The following is a 21,537-nucleotide window of genomic DNA, read 5'->3' as shown; positions in this document are numbered from 1 at the left end:
AGATATAATTATAATCACCAAGTATTATTTAATGTCCATAAAAGTACTATTGATACTGTGTTATATTTGTTTCATACTAAAAGTCAGAGTTCTTGGTAAAATAAATCTTTTCCTCTGAAACTCAGAAATTGCCATATAGGATAATAATACATTGCATATAAACTTCTAATGATAAGCATAAGAATTTGCCTCCTCAAAAAGGGGAGTTATTTTGAGGTAGGTACATTTTTCAAATATAGCCCCTAATTCACTTTCTGCTACTAGAAGTTTATGTTTGGCAGGTGGAGAGATGAAGTGATGAATTTTTATTTTCTTTAATGTGTAATTTTGACAACTAAAGTGAGAGCATGTAAATTGCCCTTCATATTATTTTTATTAATGTTTGTATACTCCAATAATTGTTCAATTATAATTAAACTATGCAGTGTTTCCATCAATTTAAAGAAAAACAACAGAAAAGATTAAGTGGAGTGGGCAAATTTATTCAAAGCATAAAGTTAGAGTAAGATTAGAAGGAAATTCAGGAATATGAAGGGAATTTTATTTGTTGAAATGTTGACATTATGTAGTATGTGTTAATTTCTGTACATTTATTTTTATTCTTGAGACGGGGTCTGGCTCTGTCACCCAGGCTGGAGTGCAGTGTGACTCAATCTCGGCTCATTGCAACCTCCATCTCCCAGGTTCAAGCAATTCTCCTGCCTCAGCCTCCTGAGTAGCTGGGACTACAGGCGCCCACCACCACACCCGACTAATTTTTGTATTTTTAGTAGAGATGGGGTTTTGCTGTGTTGGCCAGGCTAGTCTCAAACTACCGACCTAAGGTGATCCGCCCCCCTTGGCCTCCCAAAGTGCTGGGATTACAGGTTTGAACCACTGCGCCCAGCCTAATTTCTGTTCATTTAAAATGCAGCATGTGTAATATATAATTTTAACTCCATATTATGAAAATGTATAAACACACACACAAGTAGAGTCACATGTAATGAACCATGATATGTCTATCACCCGAGATCAGCAATTATTAATGTTTTATCATGGTTACTTCATTCAACTATTTCTTCTTATCTCTCTGAGATTTCTGGTTATTTTATCATTTTTCATGTCATTTTATCCTTATTTCTCTAAAAAACTGTGACATTTTCTTACTCATAATACCAGCAAAAAAGTAATGATTTCTTAATATAATGTAAAACCCAGTCCATATTCAAAATTCCCCCAATTATCTCATAAATGTCTTTTTATACTTGGTTTGTTCAAATCAGGATCTAAATAAGTTCCACTTATTGCATTTAATAGTTATGTCTCTTAAATCCTTTTTTCTCTTCATATTTTCATTTATTCATTCTTTTTTTTTTTTTTGAGACAGAGTCTTGCTTTGTTGCCCAGGTTGGAGGGCAGTGGCGTGATCGCAGCTCACTACAACCTCCACCTCCTGGGGTCAGTGATTCTCCTGCCTCAGCCTCCCAAGTAGCTGGGATTACAGACATGTGCCACCATGCCCAGATAATTTTTGTATTTTTTCTAGAGATGGGGTTTTACCATGTTGGCCAGGCTGGTCTTGAATTCCTGGCCTCAAGTGATCCACCTACCTCAGCCTCTCAAAGTGTTGGGATTACAGGTGTGAGCCACCACACCTGGCCTGTTCACTGGTTTAATTTAAAAAATCTTTTCTATGTGTTTTTACTTTTTAAAAATAATGAACTCATGAGTTTTTATAAATTTAATGTGTTTGAATAAATTGCAGTCATTTTTCCTCTTAGATGTTCCATTTCTCATCTTGGACAGTGGAAGAGTCTTTTCAAGCTGGCCCCATGTTCTTCTAATATAACCAAACTAATCTTAAAGAGTCTCCTTGTTTACTGGTGTGTGTGTGTGCGCGCGCGCGCGCGCACACACACACACTCCATCTTATTCATTTCCTATTTCAAGTTTCAAATCCATGATATTCGAAGCACCTGGTTGGTATCTCCAATGGGCCACAATTTTGATACTAGATGTGCTCATTGCTTCTGAGTTATTAATGTTTTTAAGTCTTCTCAGTGTACCAAAGTAGGAAATAGGTATTTTTTTAAATTGTGGCAAAATACACATAACAAATTTATCAACTTAACCAGTTTTAAGTATACAATTCAGTAGTGTTAAGTACAGTCATGTTGTACAACCAATCTCCAGGATGCTTTGCATATTTCAAAGCTCTGTACCCATCAAATAACATTCTCTCAGTCCCTCAGTCCATGGCACTTCCAAGTGTGAGGAAGTCCCTCACACTTCCATTTTCTGCCTCTATGAATACTCTACTCTAGGTACCTCATGAGTGGAATCATAAAGTATTCGTCTTTTTTTGTGACTGGCTTATTTCACTTAGCATAATGTCCTCAGGTTCATCTATGTTGTAGCATGCGTCAGAATTCCATTCCTTTTTAAGACTGAATGATATTCCATTGAATGTGTGTGCCACATTTTGTTTATGGACAAACAAAATGGACACTTGGGTTGCTTCCACCCTTTGGCTGTTGTGTATAATGCTGCTATGAACATGGGTGAACAAATACCTCTTAGAGATCCAGCTTTCAATTTATTTATGTATATATGAGAAGTGGAATTGCTGGATCATATGGTAATTCTAGTTTCAATTATTCAAGGGACCACCATACTGTTTTCCATAGCAGCTGAGCCATTTTACACTCCCACCAACAGAGCACAAGGGTTCCAATTTCTCCACATCCTCACCAGTGCTGGTTATTTTCTGGGTTTTTGTTTTGTTTTATTTTGTTTTAATAACAGCCATCTTTATGGGTGTGAGGTGGTATCTCACTGTGGTTTCAATCTGCATTTCTCTAATGATTAGTGATATTGAGCATTTTTCATCTGTTTCTTGGCCATTTGTTTATCTTCTTTGGAGAAATGTTTATTCAAGTCCTTTGCCCATTTTTAAATTGAGTTGTTAATTTTTTTGTTGTTGAGTTCTATATCTTTGTATATTCTGAACATCATACCCTTATCAATGATATGATTTGCAAGTATTTTCTCCTATTCTGCATGTTGCACTTTCACTCTGATGATTGTCTTTTCAATGTACAGAATTTTCAAATTTTTATGAAGTCTAGGCCAGGTGTGGTGGCTCACGCCTGTAATCCCAGCACTTTGGGAGGCTGAGGCAGGAGGATCTCCTGAGGTCAGGAGTTCAAGACTAGCCTGGCCAACGTGGTAAAAACCCATCTCTACTAAAAATACAAAAATTAGCCAGGCCTGGTGGCAGGTACCTGTAATCCCAGCTACTTGGGAGGCTGAGGCAGGAGAATCACTTAAACCCAGGAGGTGGAGATTGCAGTGATCCGAGATTGTGCCATTTCACTCCAGCCTGGGTGACAAAAGCGAGACTCCATCGCAAAAAAAAAAAAGGATAAAATCTAATTTGTGTATTTTTCTTTTGGTGCCTGGTTTTTGTTTTTGTTTTTGGTGTCATATCTAGGAAATCCTTGCCAAATCCAATGCCATGAAGCTTTCTCCCTATGTTGTTTTCTAAGAGTTTCATAGTTTTTTAAGTTTAGGTCTTTGATCTGTTTTGAGTTGATGTTTATACATGACGTAAGGTAAGGATTCAATATCATTCTTTTGCATGTGAATATCCAATGTTCCCAGCACCATTTGTTGAGGGGACTAAAATGTCTTGGCACCCTTGTTGAAAACCATTTGACCACACCATATATATGAGGGTTTATTTTTTGGTTTGCTATTTTGTTCTATTGGTCTATATATCTATCTCTATTCCACTATCACACTGTTTTGATTACTATAGCTTTGTAACAAGTTTTGCAATCAGGAAGTGTTTCTTCTTTTTCAAGATTGTTTTGGCTATTCAGGGTCCCTTGAGATTCAATATGAATTGTAGAATAAATTTTTATATTTCTGCAAAAATGCCACTGGAATTTTGGTAAGGATTGCATTGAATCTGTAGATTAGTGTCAGATATATTGACATCTTAAGTCTTTCCATCCGTCAGGATATCTTTTCCTTACCTCTTCTTTAGTTTCTTTCAGTGATGTTTTATAGTTTTCCCTGTACAAGTTTTTCACCTCTTTGGCCTAAATATTTTATTCTTTTTGATGCTATTGCAAATGGAATTGATTTCTGAATTTCCTTTTGGGATTGTTTATTATTAGTGTATAAAAACACAACTGATTTTTGTGTGTGTTGTTTTTGTATCTTGCAACTTTGCTGAACTGATTTGTTAGTTCTGACAGCTTGTACAGGTGTATATGTGTAATGTTTAGGGTGTCCTACGCGTAAGTCATGTTGTCTTCCAGCAGACATAATTTTACTTTTTCCTTTCCAGTTTGCATACCTTTTATTTCTTCTTGCCTAATTGCTTTGCTTAGGAATTCTAGTACTATGTTGAATAAAATTGGTGAGAGTGGGCATCCCTGTCTTGTTCTTGATCTTAGAAAAAAAGCTTTTAGTCTTTTACCATTGAGTATGAGGTTAACTGTGGGTTTTTCATACATGGATTAAGTAACAGGAGTTCTACAGAGGTAATAGTCAAGTTGAGATCTGACTGACAAGAAGTAGTCATGTAAAGTGCATTTAAGACAGGGGAAATGGCAAGGACAGAAACTCCAACATAGGAATAAATTTAATGAGGTTATGGAATAGAAAGAAGGTCAGTGTGATTAAAATATAGTAGGCAAGGAGGAGATGTTTTTAGATGAGGTCAAAGAAGAAGAGGGGTGGTGATTTTATTTTAAGTGCAAAGAAGAACAACATAATTGTATACACAAAGCACTGTGTTAGGCATACAAACACGTAAGATATGGCCATTGCCCTTAGGAAAGATAGAATTTTTAAGGTCTCTGACAAAAAATAGGTAGTTGACAAATTTTGGAATGACAATTGAAAAATCTTAGCCATGCCTGTTTGTAATGACATATAACTCTGAAAATGTCATATCATCCTTTCCACGTATGTACATATAGTTGTTGAGCGATCAAGGGGGCCTAATAGCACTCCCACACCACCCAGTTCTGTGTCAATTAAGAGACAGACAAGGAGTAACACAGAGATGAAAACACTTTATTACTATTGAAAATATTGATATTGGAGATCATGGCTCACATATGCAGACAGATTGACTTCTCATTCTTTAAAAACAACTTTTTGGCCAGGCACGGTGGCTTATTCCCGTAATCCCAGCACTTTCGGAGGCCAAGGTGGGCAGATCACTTGAGGTCAGGAGTTCGAGACCAGCCTGGCCAACATGATGAAACCTCATTTCTACTAAAAATACAAAAATTAGCTGGGCATGGTGGTGGGCGCTTGTAGTCCCAGCTACTCGGGCGGCTGAGGTGAGAGAATCGCTTGAACCCGGGAGGTGGAGGTTGCAGTGAGCTGAGATCATGCCACTGCACTCCAGCCTGGGTGACAGAGCAAGACTCTATCTCAAAAAAATAAAAAATAATAAAAACAATCTTTCTCTTTAGAGATAGGATCTTATTCTGTCACCCAGACTGAAGTGCAGGGATGCATCACAGCCTTGAACTCCTGGGCTAAAGTGATCCCCCCATCTCGGCCTCCCTAGTAGCTGGGATTACAGGCACAAGCCACTGTGCCTGGTTTGACTTCTTATTCTTGAAACACCAGAATTACAGACTTGCTTGCCTAGTCACAATGGAGCTAGAACAGGGCAGACACTGTCTCTGCAAAATTATACAAGAGATCAGAGACAGTAAAGTGGAGAGAATAAATTCCAGACTCTGGAGCCAGACTGACAGGGTTCCAATCTTGGTTCTGTAACTTAACAGTTATGCAATTTAACATCTGTTGTCTCAGTTGCCTTGCTTATAAAATGTGGGTAACTTTTTTTTTTTTTTTTTTGAGACGGAGTCTCACTGTGTCACTCAGGCTGGAGTGCAGTGGCACAATGTTGTCTCACTGCAACCTCCGCCTCCCAGGTTCAAGCGATTCTTGTGCCTCACCCTCCTAAGTAGCTGGGACTACTGGCACGAGTCACCACGGCCAACTAATTTTTTGTATTTTTAGTAGAGACAGGGTTTCACCATGTTGACCAGGCTGGTCTCAAACTCCTGACCTCAGGTGATCCATCCGCCTCAGCCTCCCAAAGTGCTGGAATTACAAGCGTGAGCCACTGCGCCCGGTCAAATGTGGATACTATCAAAATTACTTTGTTGACCAGCCTGGCCAACATGGCAAAAACCCATCTCTACTAAAAATACGAAAAAAAGCCAGGCATGGTGGTGGGCGCCTGTAATCCCAGCTGTTCGGGAGGCCGAGGCAGGAGAATCGTTTGAATCTGGGAGGCAGAGTGAGCCAAGATCGCGCCATTACACTCCAGCCTGGATGACAAGAGCAAGAATTCGTCTTTAAAAAAAAAAAAAAAAAAACTTCACAAAAAGGATTATGTACTGCAACGCATTGGGCATCTTGTTAAACTTGTCTAACTAATTTTTATTTAAAACTGATAATTATTCTATTCCTTAGATGTATTTGAATTTATTTAATCAGAGGATAATTGTTTAAATGTAAGAATGCAGTTCCATCTATTCTGTAAGCTAGAGATCACACATCAACAACATTTACTGGTGAAATTTCGAATGAAGTGCTTCATTTCCACAAGCCAGTGTTCTGACTATAAGAGAAAAATTGTGTAGTTGACGTTTTTGGCATGTGGAAGCCACTGGAAAATTATAGATAATGAAGGATGTTATTTTTATCATAAAAGGAGAAGGGTAATTAAGGACTTCAGTGTAAACTTAGCTAAATGAAGAAAATAGTCAGGAATACAAAAATATTAAAGAGTTTAACCATCAAAACTTTTCAGATTAAGATTATTTCATTCTAGTACAATAACACAAAATGCAAAATTCTTTCAACTTGAAACGTTACCCAACGGGCACCCATATGCAGTTCTAAATAGGGAATTCTTGTGATCATAGAGGAACAGTCTATGACATCAGCCAACAACAATGCAGAAATCTTAAAGTAGAAGCGTCACAGGACTTGTTCTTCCAAATGCTGCATGGCAAATATTATTAGGAAATATACTTAACATTTATTTATTTTTATTCTCAATGTAAGTAAAAATTTACAATGGTTTGGTTATGGTGATTTTTAGATATGATTTGAAGTCATTTAAGTCCTAATATGTAAATTGGAATTTGAAATTAAAAGTTCATTTCTCTTTGAAGTTTATCTTACCTTGAAAAGTAGACATAAACAGCACACTCTTTAGTTGTGCGGTTTGATCACGAAAGATTCTGCTTTTTCTGTTCTACCTCTTGCAGGTTAAATAACATGCAGTGAAAATCATGTCATAAGAAAATATTTGGAAGCACTATCTGATGTTTTAAATATTGTTTTTGATTAAACTAATCAATATACGACTCACAGTTCCAAGGCAACCACAATGACATTTGTTTAGGCAGGTAGTCTATAAAAGAACTAATCGTGTAAGTGCTTAAAATAGTTATTCTTAATGTTTTGTGGTTAAGATCTCATTCAAACCACAACAATGCAGATATATATGTGTAAGTAAAATTCTGTCTAGAATTTTAGGGGTTTCATGACATCCCATTCATAGGCATGAGGCAAGAACTCTGCCTAAGATAATATGTTGTGGGGATTAATTTGAGTGTTGTGCGGGAGGGCGGGAGGGAGTTGCAGGGGAGGTGTTCTTACTTAGCCCAAATGCCTTTTTTTAAGTGAAAGGTATCCTTCCTACTCCCTAATGAATCTGGCCTGAAATTGAGAAGTTCCTAACTTAAAATTGCAACTGCTAACTTTCCTCGAGATGCAGTTAAATGAGAAAATAAATAATATTTTTTAAAGTCACTAGCTTTAACGCATTGGCAACACGATCATTTCCTGTAGTGAGTGACCCTGGTTCCTAAAAATAACTCCAGTGCTATTCAATTGCTTATATTGGGCATTTTTTTTAATTCTTATTTGGGAAGGACATTCTCTTCCACAGCTGAAGAAACTCAGTGTTTGAAAAGAGCTGCCTAAAACACTGTTTCCCGTAGGCTGTTAAAAATGTTCAGCATCTGAATGCTGGTAAGGAATGCTCACACCCATTGGAGGCAATGCTGTGTGGACTTGAAAAGGAAAAAATGGGGCCCCTATATATGGAAAACAGGAAGCAGAACCAGTTGAGGAAGGCTTACTCATCTGTGACCCATATTCAAAGCCATAGTCCAGCCACTGTTAGTTACCTAGAAAAGGAAAAGACTGAATGGCTAGCCTAAGCTCTAAGGGACACATTGCAAATCAGGTCAGGCTGTTGTGCCATTTTCCACCTTATTTTCAAATAAGCAAAGAAATGAAGCCTCAGTACCGCCTGGTGGATACACTGATACATGCCATACCTAGTCAATTGCTGGTTGCCTGATAGCAAACTTAATTTTTTACAGTTCCTCTGGCAATACTCTGCTGTGAGTACTGAGGAGTGCTCACTAAATGGAAGCCCTCAAGCAAAAAAAAAAAAAAAAAAAAAAAAAAAAAAAGTTGCAAATTCAATACACTTCCAGTTTCTCTGCGTTATATGACTATTTGCATGTTATTTATACATATGGAGACTGAAAAAGGAGGAACTGGCAGGACTGTCTCACCCCTTCTTGTTTTTCAAAATGTCAATAATTCCCAGGGTTGCTTTACACCAATACACACAGATTCACATTTTTAGAGATGGGTCTCACTGTGTTGCCCAGGCTGGACTATGGTGGCATGATCATAGCTCCTGGGCTCAAGTGATCCTCCTGCCTCAGCCTCCTGAGCAGCTGGGACTACACACATGCACCACCACACCTGGCTAATTTTAGTCCTTATTTTTTAGTTGGGGCTGGGGGTCGGGGGCGGGGGTGGTCTCACTACGTTGTTCAGTCTGGTCTCGAACTCCTGGTCTCCAGCACTTCTCCCGCCTCAGCCTCCTGAGTAGCAGATTCACATTTTAAAACAGTGATTTTAGTTTCTCAGGGAAAGGAATGGAGTTATTTATGATTCAGAAGCACTTCTATGTTAGTATTATAGGATGTTATCAGAGACCTCTATTCCTTCCATCCCTATCCCTTCATCTTTTTCTTTTTTAATGTTTACAGAAGGAGTTACATTCAAAGTAACTGGAAGTGACGGATGAGAAAAATATATCTAGGTTAGTCTATAGAAACAGTCCTTAGAAAAGTGGCTGAAGTCTTACCTAGCCATTGTCAATCAATTTGCTCCAAAGCCATCACATACATTTATTATCCAATGGTATTTAAAATCCAAGTCCCATTTATCAGCCAGGGTACTGTTATTAAGAAAAAAAATAAGATTTTTTTCTTAATAAAATCTCCTAGTAGGGCATTTTCATCACATAGCAACTGCCTAATTCTTCATACTCACCCCCACGCTGCAACTCATTTTCCCCTTATTATCACCAATGTTGAAATTAGTCTTCACCTATAAACCTGGAACCTGATTTGCAATATATCCTTATGAATCCCCTTTGAATTTCTAAAATTATTCTTCTTATTCCTTATTATCTGGACACTCTTATTTATAGAGTGATCATATAAATTATCATCTATACTAGGACATACTTTTGAGAGTTAAAAGGGGTGCTAATTAATAATAATATAAGTCAAACTAATACAAACCTGGGCATCCAATAATGTCTTTCTTGCTGAACAACTTTGAAACTTTACTTTGCAAAATGTTAGATGAATAAAGATACATTTTGAAGAGCAAGTAGTAGTATCACCAGTGACAAAACTAAAGGAAACACCGACTTTAATTATTTGACATAATAATGACTTAAGAGATGGCAGAAGACAATTGATAATAATTGGGAGACAGTGTAGGTAAGGTATGGATTTATCTTGAACTCAAGATACTTATGATGTTCTATTAGGTTGGTGCACACAGCCATCTGGTCGACCTTAGACACGGGAAGGCAAGCACCCCCTGGTTGACCTTAGACATGGAAAGGTGAGAGCTATCTGGTTGACCTTACACATGGGAAGGCAAGACACATCTGGTAGACCTTGCACCAACCTAATATGATAAAAGTTGCAGTGTGGCTTGCACTATTCCTACTTATCAGGATTTCCTGTTTAGCACGTATGCTGACCAACCTTTGCTTAGAGTATTCATAAATTTCATAGCTCACTGTCCACCCATTATTTGTATGAAATCACAAGTAGACTCGTATTCTTGACCAATGACTGCAGTTTTTAGAGAACATGTTTCTTTAATTTCTTTTTCCTCAAAACTCATGACTTCTGTACACAAATTGCTACCTCACACATCAGTTTAGTCAAGTGCTCTAGCCCAGTCCTGGGAGAGCAAAAGGACCCATTTATTCATTTATCAGATATTATCTGAGCCCCTATTATCTGTCCTTGCAACAGTGCTTGACGGTGGTGTTAAAAAGCTCAGTAAATTGTCCTGGAGGAACTAATTTAGTTTAGAGTTGTGCATATGTAAATCTCATAATGTTCTTGTAGCAAAGACTAGCTAGTGCCTCCACCAGTCACGTACAGGGAAAAAAATTCTGGAAATTGTAGTGCAAATCAGGCACGGACCAATTATGCTTTTGAACTATACAGTTTTCTGTGCTGAGACTGGGCCAATTCTGATGAATTCTGAACAATGGTAAAACCGATACCTTTAAAATTCAAGAATGTTGAGTTCTAATGGCAGTTTGACCATTGAGATATTAATATAGGAACATCATTTAGCCTCTTAAGCTTGAACATCCATTAAGTGGGAAAAATAGTGCTCATTTCCTAGAGGTCTTCAGATTGGCTAATCAAGTTTTGATTTTGCTGGTAAGTAATGAGCAAATTTTCTTAGATGTGATCGCTTCATTTTCTCTTATATTGATTGGCAGCAGCCAAATGGGCATTCCAGTCCCTAATCTCCTGCAAGAGAAACACTTCTATTTCATAAATCTGGTAATTTTTGAGCTCTTTTCCCAACAGGGTGCTGCAGCTCACCAAGCGGAACCCACAGCATTTTCTGCTACCAGGATAGCAGCTTGCCAGTAGCATATACTAAATTACTGGGTTTCAGTATGATTTTGGCTGGTACAGACTTCAATCATCGAATCGACATGCGTTCAGCCATTCTCATAATGAATGTTTCCTTCTCTTTCAAACGTTGTTTCCAGCCCCAATCTCCAAATTTTTTTTTTTTAAGAGGTGAAACAGAAACTGTACTCCTTAGGAAGAAACTTTTCCTTCTCATCCCTGTTCCCCATAAAGGTACCTCCAGATAAATCTATCAAAAGCAGGACGCAACTCACCAGGTTTTCTAAAACGTTCCCCAGTCTCACCACCCTTCGTGACACCCATGGGTTTCCCAATTCTTCACCTTTCTCTTAGACACAGGCAAGCACATTATCACTCCAGAAAAGCAGTCCTGGCTTAGCCAGTTCCCTTCCAGAAGGACCACGTGGTTTTTGGCCCCATGGAGCCCTGCAGGGTAGGGGGGCTCACGGTCCCGATTTGCCTCGGGACTCAGGGGGCTTCCGAGATGCAGGATCTCCCGGGCTCGAAACGGGACATCAGTGGACAAACGGGAGCGAGGGTCGAACGCGCGGCTCCGAGGAAGAGGAACTTAAAGAACACGGGCCCAGCAGGCTACACCAGGAACGCGCGGGGCTCTAGGGCGCGTCCGACTCCTCCCGCCCTTCGCAGAGGAGGAAACTGAGGCACGGCGACTGTCTCAACGCAGTCCCGGCCCTGCCCCCCGCGGCCTCCCTCAGGCGCGCTCCCGCGCAGCCGGTTCCTTTGTCCCGGTCGCACTTCCTGCCCCATCCTCCGCCTCCTCCTAGCCCCGGGCCGGGCTGACGCGGCGGGAGAGGAATGCGTTTCCGGAGGGAGAGGGCGGCGGCGGCCTCGGGAGCGGGATCAGACGCGCAGAGGAGGCGGGGCCGCGGCTGGTTTCCTGCCGGGGGGCGGCTCTGGGCCGCCGAGTCCCCTCCTCCCGCCCCTGAGGAGGAGGAGCCGCCGCCACCCGCCGCGCCCGACACCCGGGAGGCCCCGCCAGCCCGCGGGAGAGGCCCAGCGGGAGTCGCGGAACAGCAGGCCCGAGCCCACCGCGCCGGGCCCCGGACGCCGCGCGGAAAAGGTAGGGGCCGGCGGGCCTCGGGTGTGGGAGCGCGGGCCGCGGCCTCCGGTCTCCTGTGCGCGGCAGCACTTAAAGCCGCCGGCCGGGCCGCGCCGGGACCTTTGTGCCGGGCGTGGGGGTGGGGGCGGGGGCGGGGGCGGGGGCGGCCGCCAGCGGTTGGGGGCTGGGGCAGGATTCCAGGCTAGTCCAGGAGGAAGTCCGCACGCCGCCACCCGCCTCGGGTCCCCGGCGCTGGCAGCCCCCGGGCGCAGAGCCAGCCCAGCCGCGTTCCGAACGTGAGGGTCGCCGGCCTGGGCGCTGTCACGTCGGGGCTGCCGGAGCTGCGGGGGACCGGGCCCGAACGGCCCCTGACACCTGCGGTCTCCCGCCGGGCTGGGCAAGCGCAGGTGGGAGCCAGCGAGGCCACCCGGGGCTCGGCGTTTGGGACTCGGCGCTCCCCTGGACGGGTCCGGTGCCTTTGTCTCTCGCTCCCTCGCGAGCTGCTGTCCTTGGAGCAGCGTCGAGCCAGCCGTCGGCGCCCGCGACGGGGACTGGTCTCCTCCGGCTGCCAGGAGGCGGCCCTGGGGCCAGCGCCGCGGGCGGGGGCGGCGGGAGCCGGGTAGAAGTTGGCTTAGTGGAGCCGCTGGGGACCGGGGGTGCGGTGGCGGCAGTGCAGTCCACTTCCCCGTGTTTATAAACGTCAAGAGTCGCCGGTCCCTGCCGGGCACCCCGGGACCAGGACGCATGGCCATGGCCAGCTTGTGCTCAGACCCGGTCCGCGAGCCTGAGAGCCCGGCCTGTGTCTAGTATCATTTTACCGCGTGTCATTTCTTAGGCTTCATAAATTGGATTTATGAGACTCCTACTCTCTAAGTAACTTTTATTTAATCAAATTCGTGCTTTTGAGTCCAAAACTTTGCACTCATTGGTATGATCATTAGTAAGTTGCATTCTCTAAGCTTCCGTTTCCTCATCTGTGAAATAGGAACAGTAATATCTACATTAATAATTCATTTTTATAATAATGACAGTGAGGGCCAAGTTTAGCTCTAGGCATTTTACATGTATTATTTAATTCTGGAACCGCTCTAATGAGATTGGTACTGTTTCGATTCCCATTTTCCGAGTGAAGAAACTGAGGCACAGGGAGCAAAAGTAAGTTGCCTGTGGTCATCAGGAGCTCCTGGAGAAGGCATGGGGTCTAGTTCCAGAGTCCGCGTTTAAACCACAAGTAACCTTCCTAACTATAGTTCTGAAAATCAAATGCAAAATGTAAAAAACTTAGCTTGAGAGTAGATGCTCAATGAGTATTGACTCCTTTTCAGCCCTTCTTTTATAGTAAAAAGATGTTAAAAATATCTCGGAAGATAATTGGTAACATCATTGGTAAGGTTTCTTTGGGCCAACATGCCACATGGTTAACTTAGGTGGGTAGAATTACTAGGTTATTTCGTTTTGTTTTGAGACAGGGTCTCTGTTGCCCAGGCTGGAGTGCAGAAGAGCCATCACAGCTCACTGCAGCCTCAACCTCCGAGGCTTAAGTTACTTTTCCACCTCAGCCTCTTGAGTAGCTGGGACTACAGGCGCCTGCCACCGTGCCCGGCTAATTTTTTTATTTTTTGTAGAGACAGGATTTCACTATGCTGCCCAGGCTGGCCTCAAACTCCTGGGCTCAAGCTGTCCTCTCTCACCGAGCTCCCAAAGTGCTGGGATTACAGGCGTGAGCCCCTGAACCTGGCCCTTAGGTTTTTTTATTTTTTTTTTTTTAATTGTAGTTTTAATGCTACAAAAATAACATGCTAGAGGAATTTAGATTAGACACCTTTCTTAAACCACATACGTCCTTTACGATAGGTTATACAGTAGACCAATTTTAGAAATGATTAAGGAACTTCAGTTGGCAGTTACCTGTTCATTTGTGGACATCAAGGCCCAGAGGGGTTAGGACTTAGAGTCTCACTATAATTCTCATATTTTTAAATAATGTTGACTCATTGATCAATATTATATAAGTGACTGAAGATGGTGAAGTGTTAAATAAAAAACATTGGTATTTTCATTACAGGCATTTGGGGAGAAAGTCATTTTACTTATCCCAAAATTGAGTATGAAGGTGGAAGATGTTATTAGAATGCTAGTTAAAAGGACAAAGAATGTGGTTAATACTTTAATTCTGTAAACAGGAAGCAAATAGATTGTTTAACTCGTCTGTGTTGACTTCAGACCTAAACCTACAATTTTAAGTGTTTGTGATTTTCTTAATGTAAAGTTCTATATTAAAGTTATTTTTTAATACCCTCAACATTCTGCACATGAGAAGCATGGAATCAGCAATTCTGAAAGTCACTGGATTTAGTAATTTTAACAATTAGGCAGCTTTCTGGTCAGTATAATTTAATTTAAATCAGCCCCGAATTACCATCACGAATGAAAATGTAGCTCTACATTGGTGTTCTTCCTAACTCTGGGAGTGACACTGGGGACATCTGGTCATATTATAATAATGAAAAGTGGTCAAACAACTTAACATGGTGCCAGTTTTCCTAAGCGTGCTTGCCACTGATTGTAATGCTTTTATTGTTTGGCTTCTTGATAAGTAAGTTATGGCTTACAGCGGTGAGTAGTATAGTGTTCTGTCTGAAAACATATTCATTAATATTCTGTAGCTGCTCTGGTTTGCCCTTAACTATGCTGCTAGTGTGATAAGCTGAAACATCTTGTAACTGGTAAAAGTTTCAGAGAACTTAACTTTCTGAATATGTAACAAGCTGCATGTATCTGAAAGGGTTCATTTAGACTTCTGTTAGATATTAGCAGATTTTCTCACTCTGCCAGAGAGTTAGGATCTGTTAGGTTGTGGGTGGAATCCTGGAGATTATGCCGGGTAAATATGTAAGTACCTGTATTGTATTAGCAGTGTTTACTCTGACTTGGTTTTAGGTTCTGAGAGTTTGGCTGGTTATTTTTTCAGAGGTGGGAGGTATGGAGTAGAGACGTTAAGATACAGAAAGGTACATTCGTCTTCTGAATCCTGAAGTGTTATGCTAGAGGTATCTATAGCTGTGGAAAACTGAAAAGATATTATGGTATGTACCCAGCTTAAAGGGGGTACAGTCCGTAAAAGTCAGAATATTAGCAGCCTTCCAATATGTCTGTCGGTAGGTGAAAAAAAAAGTTTCTCTCTTTCAGGAGCTGTGTACAAAAGGATCCAAACTATACTTTGTACATTTGTTATTGTTTTAAAAGTGGCTGTGAGTTTTTAGAGGTCAGCTAACTTTAAACTTGCCGTTTGGTTTGTGACTTTAGAAGGTAGAGTTAACTATATTTAGCAATATGCTTAAGCGTGTGCATATCACCTCATGAAACGTGTGTGTGCATGAGAAAAGCTGCCTCCAGTACACATACATATGTATATACACACATACACACAAGCACATATATGTATGTATTTCTTATAGGACCAATCTCATTGTACATAATTTCAAAGCACAGGTTCCTATCTCCAGGGATGCATAAAAAGACTCACTGAAGTATAGGGAGAAAATTTTAGGTCTACTATTATGTTTGTTGATCTCATCACTTTAAAATTTAAAATTTTGATTATGATTGATAATCTTACTATATTGCTGTAGAAGTACATGTATCTGAATTTATAAATTGCATTTATTTTGGGTACAGGTATGCCTAGAATTTTTTTGCTGATAAAGGTGAGTGGTCAGAAAGCTTTGCAGATCCCTATATGGAGGATGATTTGAGTGGGGTTCAAGAACTACTGTATTTGGGAGGGAGAACTGATAAGACTTGATAAGAGAAATAAAAGAAACCCAGTGTGACACTGGTTTCTGGCTAGGAGGTGCTGTTCACTGAGGTGAGAGGGTGACCACAAGCTGGGGGTGCTGGTTGGCTGGAGCAGAGGGGAAATGATGACCTTATGAGGCCAAGTTTTTTTTTTTAAGGTGACCATGGGACATAGGTGGAGATGTCTAAATTGCAGTTGAATACACAGATTGAGAGCTTAAAAAAAGAAAAAACTCTGAGAGATTTCAATTTGACAATTCTTAGTCTATTGCTGGTTGAAGCTATAGGCTGTGCATGCAAACACCAAAGGAGGGTGTGGAGTGAAAAACGGGCTGAAGGAGGACCTGGGAACACTTTTAATAGTCAAGGGGGGGTGGAGGAAGAGGAATCTAGAAAAGCATTTACCTTCCCCAGTTTCTTCTCTGAACTTCTAATTCCTTTGAGTGGCATTTTTGTGAGTGACATAGGTATTTCTGGGTTTTTCCAGTGATTGGCATGTTTGAGTTAAAGACAGAAAGACTTCATTGGTCACATTTCTTTGTGGTAATTTATTTTCAGATACCTGATCAGAGAAGCAGTTTGATGTACTAAAGGCTTCTCGATTGGGAGACAGGAAACCTGGGTGTCAGTGCCGGGTCTGCCACTGAATTTCTGTGTGACCTTTGTCAGAGTACTGTACTTCCAGAGCGTTGGTTTCCACATCTACCCTATAAAGCAGCCTGCATGTTTCTCTCATTCTCTCGTTCGAGGAGTTGGAGGATAGCTGCTGCCTGATGTAAGTAGAGTGCAGTTCTCTCTCCATGAGCAACTTTTTTTTTTTTTGTATCACCAGAGAGTGTAGGCACTGTGCCACTTACTCTGTTAAGGATACCTGCCAGCGCTGACCAGCAACATCTGTCCCTGTCAGCTCTGCATCAGGATGTAGCTTGGCTGTACATTACATTTTATTCTATCAGTACATTGAGTACCAGTTACCTGAAAAATGCTTTACTCAGTGGACATGAATCAAGAAGTTGGCATGCTCTTTGATGTTGAGTCTGTTGTCTAATTGGAACAAGTTGTGTTCAGTTCAGGAAAACATAAATACCAAAGAGTGTTTTATACAATGTACTGTACCATAAAATACTGTACCATGTAATATTCCCTAACAATGTTAGAAAAATCTCAGCATTGGCTTGTGTGGTTTTGGAACACGTTGTGTAGGAGATGAGGCCTGAGCTTGGAATGGTATGAGCGAAGGTTGGATGACAGATGGTTGTCACATTCAAGGACAGCATGGGAAGAATCCAATCTAATTTCACAGATAGTACCTGGCCACTTTGTTACCTATTAGGAGTTATGTATAATATCATATATATCAGAAGGATATGTGAAGGCTATATAAAATGAAGGCCTGGGTTCTTGCCCTCCAATACTAGCCTGATGAGAGACACAGACATGAATACAATTAGTTACAATAGAAGTTTGAATAGAAATAACACTATATTATTAAGCATCACTGAAGATTTGTCATTCACTCTGCTGGGCACTATCAAAGCTGTTTTGGAACCACAGAGAAGGAGTAGTTAATTAAGTTGATTGTGGTTGGTGAGGAGATGAAGAGGCAATAAAGACAGAAAGGAAGAAGAAAAATCAGCATTCTATTTTGTGTAGGGAGTATAGTTTCAGTGGAGTGATGAGGAAAATATTTACATACGAAATTAGGTATGTACCATTTGGAGTATGGAAGTCACATTTTTCTGTATAAATGTTTATTGAATGAATATGTAAATAACTTAAGCTTTCGTAATCTATGAAATTAGCAATAGATTATTCTTCTCCATGTACAATATTTTATGGTTTATGTATGATTTTCTTCATATTATGATTTCAGTGCTTCTTTTAAAGGGGTGGTACAGGGTCATGTTTATTGGAGGAGGAAATTGGAGTTTGAAAAAGCACATTTGGTAGTATAATGTTATGTTAGAAAAATGTTACAAAAAAGTACAATAGGGAGTAAGATTTATGCTTATTAAAGAAGCATGGATTAAAAAGATTGAGAAACATTTATTAAAGAGTCACTGAGGTTCTTGTTTTAGAAGGCCATGATTAATGAGTTGGAGAACAAGAAGCAAATTTGGTAATCATGTAAATTATGAGCTGCTGACCACCTAGAAATATATTTGCTGATAAGAGCTTTCATATAATGATCATATTTTATCTTTCCAACAATTAGATACTGTTTACAGCTTACTGATGTGTAAAATGAGAAACTTTTTTTCCTATGTTTATCATGGTTTTAAAACATTTATCATGTATTTAAAATACTGTATGCACTCCACCACAGACAGGATGGAGAGGAAGATGTGACAAAAGATGTGGTCAAAATTAGTTTTAATCAAGGAAGCATTTTGGAATGATCTGCTTAAAAAGTGGATATAATTACGCAGTTTGAGAAGATAATTCTCCTTAATTGAAATTACGGGGAATAAGTCTTGCTCTCAGGTGCTTATTGATACCGTTGATCATGCTGGTTCTTTTGCTGGCTCCACTCACAATTATCTTTGACAACTTGCCCCAAAGTAAACTTTCTCAACCAAAACCGTTCCCAACTTCTTTCCTCCTCACAGGGAAAGGCAAAAAAGTCCGCAGGCATAGAGAGTGGAAAGAAGGAACAGCATACTAGGCTGGTTTGAAAAACAATCAATTGCTAGGTAATAATGTCTTACCTTTTGAGTGGAAGGAGGAGCTGGGAAGAATTAAGTTCGGGCAGGTTTTTTGCTCATTTTGGATCAGCCCTTCATATTATGGCTTAATAGCTTTGTTTATAGTGTATTTTTCTGCTTTTACGTTCATCCTCTGAAGTCTTGAGTTAATTTTGTGCCCCTTTACCCCCATTTGAATTAAATGCTTCATTTTTTTCCCGTTTCTCACATAAAGCTATTTTTTTTTCAGGACAGGGAGGGGCTGGTGGTGGTGGTGGTGCTGTACCAGTTGTCTGTTTATGAGATCACCATTAGACAACGTTTCTCATTGGCTTGAATTATTTGAATTTTGTGTGATTTTCCTGTTATGTTGATTCTGTTCTTGGTGTCTATGAGTTCTGTAGAGGATTCCAGCCTAAATTTTCTTCCTTAGTTCTGTTTACTTTTCCTCGACTTTTGTGGTTTTGCTCTTTGATCACTGTCAAGATCTATTTGAGATTTTCTGACTTTCTTGAAGAGCAGAATGAGATCTAGATTTTCTCTTATTTTTAAAGAAGATTCTTCACTGACTTCCTTTCACTTTTTGTTCTGTGGAAGTCTTTCCTAGGTGTTAAGTTTCCAGGCTTTACCTCCCCCTACCCCCAACGTATTATCTTTAGGCATTTTGTTTGCCAATGCGTACTATATCCATTATTTATCTTTCCCTTGCACTTGTAGATTGGGTGGTGATAAAAATCTTCCATATTTCATTTTCCTGGAGAAGGCGGGTAGAGTCACTAGTGATGAATTTTATCTTCAATCTGTTGTATAATTTTCTTAAAGTATCTCGCCGTGTTGTGAGCTGTTCTCAGATTTCAAATTGTTTTGTGAACCTATAGCTTTGGAGCAGCCAAACCTTTGTTGTTAGAGCTTCTTAGCCCAGGCTATCATTATCATTGTGTGAGAAGGGGTTAGTGCTCTTTAAAAAGCCATTTTTCTTCTGGGTGGGAGTGGTGAATTTTAGATGGTTTTCTAATTCAGACTACTTTTCTGTTTGTCAAGGAGAGGAGAAGAGGACTTCAAATGTGGTGTTACATCTTTGGGATCCCTTAGCCTCTTCTCTTTCATGTCTCCTTTTTTTTCTTCTCTATTCTTTCTGCGAAGTTTTGTTAATCATTAATGCTAGCTTATTAATATTTGGGCCATAAACACCTCTGTAGTGACCAACACACCTCTTCCTGCCAGATGGAAGGAAAAAAAGTGTTGAGTTTTAATTGTTCTTCCTGTAAGGGGAAAGGTTCCCTTTCCATGGGAGGAACTCATCTCCACATGTCACCCTCTCAGATGGTACAGAATTCAGAAAGATTTCTCAGTTTCTTCCATTCATGTTTTTCTCGTTTTTATTACTCTCTATGTGGGATAAGTGGGAGGAACCTCATGTCTTTCAATTTGGCTCTGTGTTCTTCTTCTGGAATATATTGATTTTTAAATACTAAAATCTGTTATTGGCCTATTTCTTCCCCTTTTAAAAGCAGATACAGAAAATAATGATGGTAGAACAGACTTGGGATGAATCCAAGTTTATTATAATTTTTAGGAGACATTTATGATATACCTCTATAGGTATCAGAATCTTTTCTACTATTAAGGTGAAAAGATTTGAGATTTTGTGAAATCTTTTGTGTATTCTTTTTATTTGAGTTGGCTTTTAGGTGGCTTATTTTTCAACTCTGAAATGAACATAACATGTTACATATGTTACATATGTTACAATTTTTTTCTAAAGTGTAGTTGTTTAATTTCTACAAAGATAGTCCATATAAAGTTTCTAAAGATTGTAAATTTAAAAGGAAATGCCAAATGAATTATTTGTAAAATTGTTTAAAAAAATTAATAAATAATGAGTGTGTATTTAAAAGTTTGAACATGATATAAAACCATACTTTTATGGATAAAGATTAGTTTACAGTGAAGATTAAAACAATTATGCACTATTTTTGACAGTGGAAACAATTGCACATATTTGGGTTAACCACTAAAATGAGATTATTTGTGGGTGGTGTTTAAGATTGTTTATTGTTCAGGGAATGAATTATGACCCCTTAGATAAAATTTCATATGGTAAAAAATGACCTTAAGGTGAAATGCTTTTATAGGAACAAGACACAAAACCTTTGTCTGTACTTATGAAATATGGCAATTAAAATAACTTTTCTTGGCCTCTATTAAGTTCAAATGCCCAAGAAATAAACTCATAGAACATTATAAGCCCTTTCCATTTCTGTGCCCTGAGTCAGTTCTAACACTAGAAGGATGTTCTTTGTTTTAAAATAGTGATTAAGTAGGCTTTGAAAAAATTACAGTTTAATGAAGTCAGGTCATAGCTTCTGGATACAGATGGTCAGGTTTCAATTCCACCTGTGCAACTTTTGATTCCACCATTGCAAGTTGTTTAGTCTCTCTGGTTTTGTTTCCTCATCTGTAAAACAAAGACACTATTATTCTTCACCTCATTGAGTTACCTGGAGGAGATAGATGCTATTATTTTATCATTATTATTATCATATCCATTTGAAGGTGCTGAAATAAAATTCTAATTTTTTAAAGTTCTAAATGAAATAACTTTTTGTTACAAATTACTTTAAATCATCAAAACTTAGTGTATTATACTCTTCTTCTTGCCTGTGCCTAGTCTGGCCCTCTCAATTGAGAAGTCAGTCTTTTTTTTTTTTTCAGTAATCCACAGTGAGCAGCAGTCCCTGAACGAAATCATATTGCTAGTTGGGTTTGATTAATAAAACACAGAATTGGTATTCTAGTCCTTTCAGGGGGGTTTGCTTCCTTGTGATGTAAGAACCTTGTCTTAGTCTTTGTGCTGCTATAACAGAATGCCACAGACTGGGTAATTTATGTCAGGGTTCTGGGGGCTGGGAAGTCCATTATCAAGGGGTTGGCATCTAATGTCTTTCTG

General features: G+C 39.9%; 1 protein-coding gene across 2 annotated transcripts in view, besides 5 other annotated features; it reads left to right on the top strand.

Moving 5' to 3' along the window:
• Positions 5,755 to 6,565: an enhancer, noted in NCBI's record as "H3K27ac hESC enhancer chr10:33252634-33253444 (GRCh37/hg19 assembly coordinates)". NCBI's record gives its function as "activates a minimal SCP1, AML or CMV promoter by ChIP-STARR-seq in naive H9 embryonic stem cells {active_cell/tissue: H9 hESC(naive)}" and the evidence as "EXISTENCE:reporter gene assay evidence [ECO:0000049][PMID:30033119]".
• Positions 11,469 to 11,518: an enhancer, noted in NCBI's record as "active region_3250". NCBI's record gives its function as "activates an Ori minimal core promoter by ATAC-STARR-seq in GM12878 lymphoblastoid cells {active_cell/tissue: GM12878}" and the evidence as "EXISTENCE:reporter gene assay evidence [ECO:0000049][PMID:35858748]".
• Positions 11,689 to 12,268: a silencer, noted in NCBI's record as "silent region_2291". NCBI's record gives its function as "represses an Ori minimal core promoter by ATAC-STARR-seq in GM12878 lymphoblastoid cells {active_cell/tissue: GM12878}" and the evidence as "EXISTENCE:reporter gene assay evidence [ECO:0000049][PMID:35858748]".
• Positions 12,041 to 21,537, top strand: part of ITGB1 (integrin subunit beta 1) — a 57,913-nt gene continuing 48,416 nt past the window's right edge. The window contains exon 1 of one of the 2 annotated variants that reach the window (NM_002211.4): positions 12,041 to 12,126. The gene's annotated coding sequence lies outside the window, so the exon portion shown is untranslated. Of the gene's footprint in view, positions 12,127 to 12,309; positions 12,513 to 21,537 lie in introns of those variants that run through there. The other variant, NM_133376.3, reaches the window with a different exon arrangement.
• Positions 12,339 to 12,788: a silencer, noted in NCBI's record as "silent region_2290". NCBI's record gives its function as "represses an Ori minimal core promoter by ATAC-STARR-seq in GM12878 lymphoblastoid cells {active_cell/tissue: GM12878}" and the evidence as "EXISTENCE:reporter gene assay evidence [ECO:0000049][PMID:35858748]".
• Positions 13,182 to 13,343: a silencer, noted in NCBI's record as "fragment chr10:33245856-33246017 (GRCh37/hg19 assembly coordinates)". NCBI's record gives its function as "represses an EF-1alpha promoter that drives an FKBP-Casp9 reporter gene in an ReSE screen in HepG2 liver carcinoma cells {active_cell/tissue: HepG2}" and the evidence as "EXISTENCE:reporter gene assay evidence [ECO:0000049][PMID:32094911]".

Source organism: Homo sapiens, chromosome 10, assembly GCF_000001405.40.
Source record: "Homo sapiens chromosome 10, GRCh38.p14 Primary Assembly".
Lineage (NCBI taxonomy): Eukaryota > Metazoa > Chordata > Mammalia > Primates > Hominidae > Homo > Homo sapiens.
This window is presented reverse-complemented; position numbering and strand designations above follow the sequence as displayed.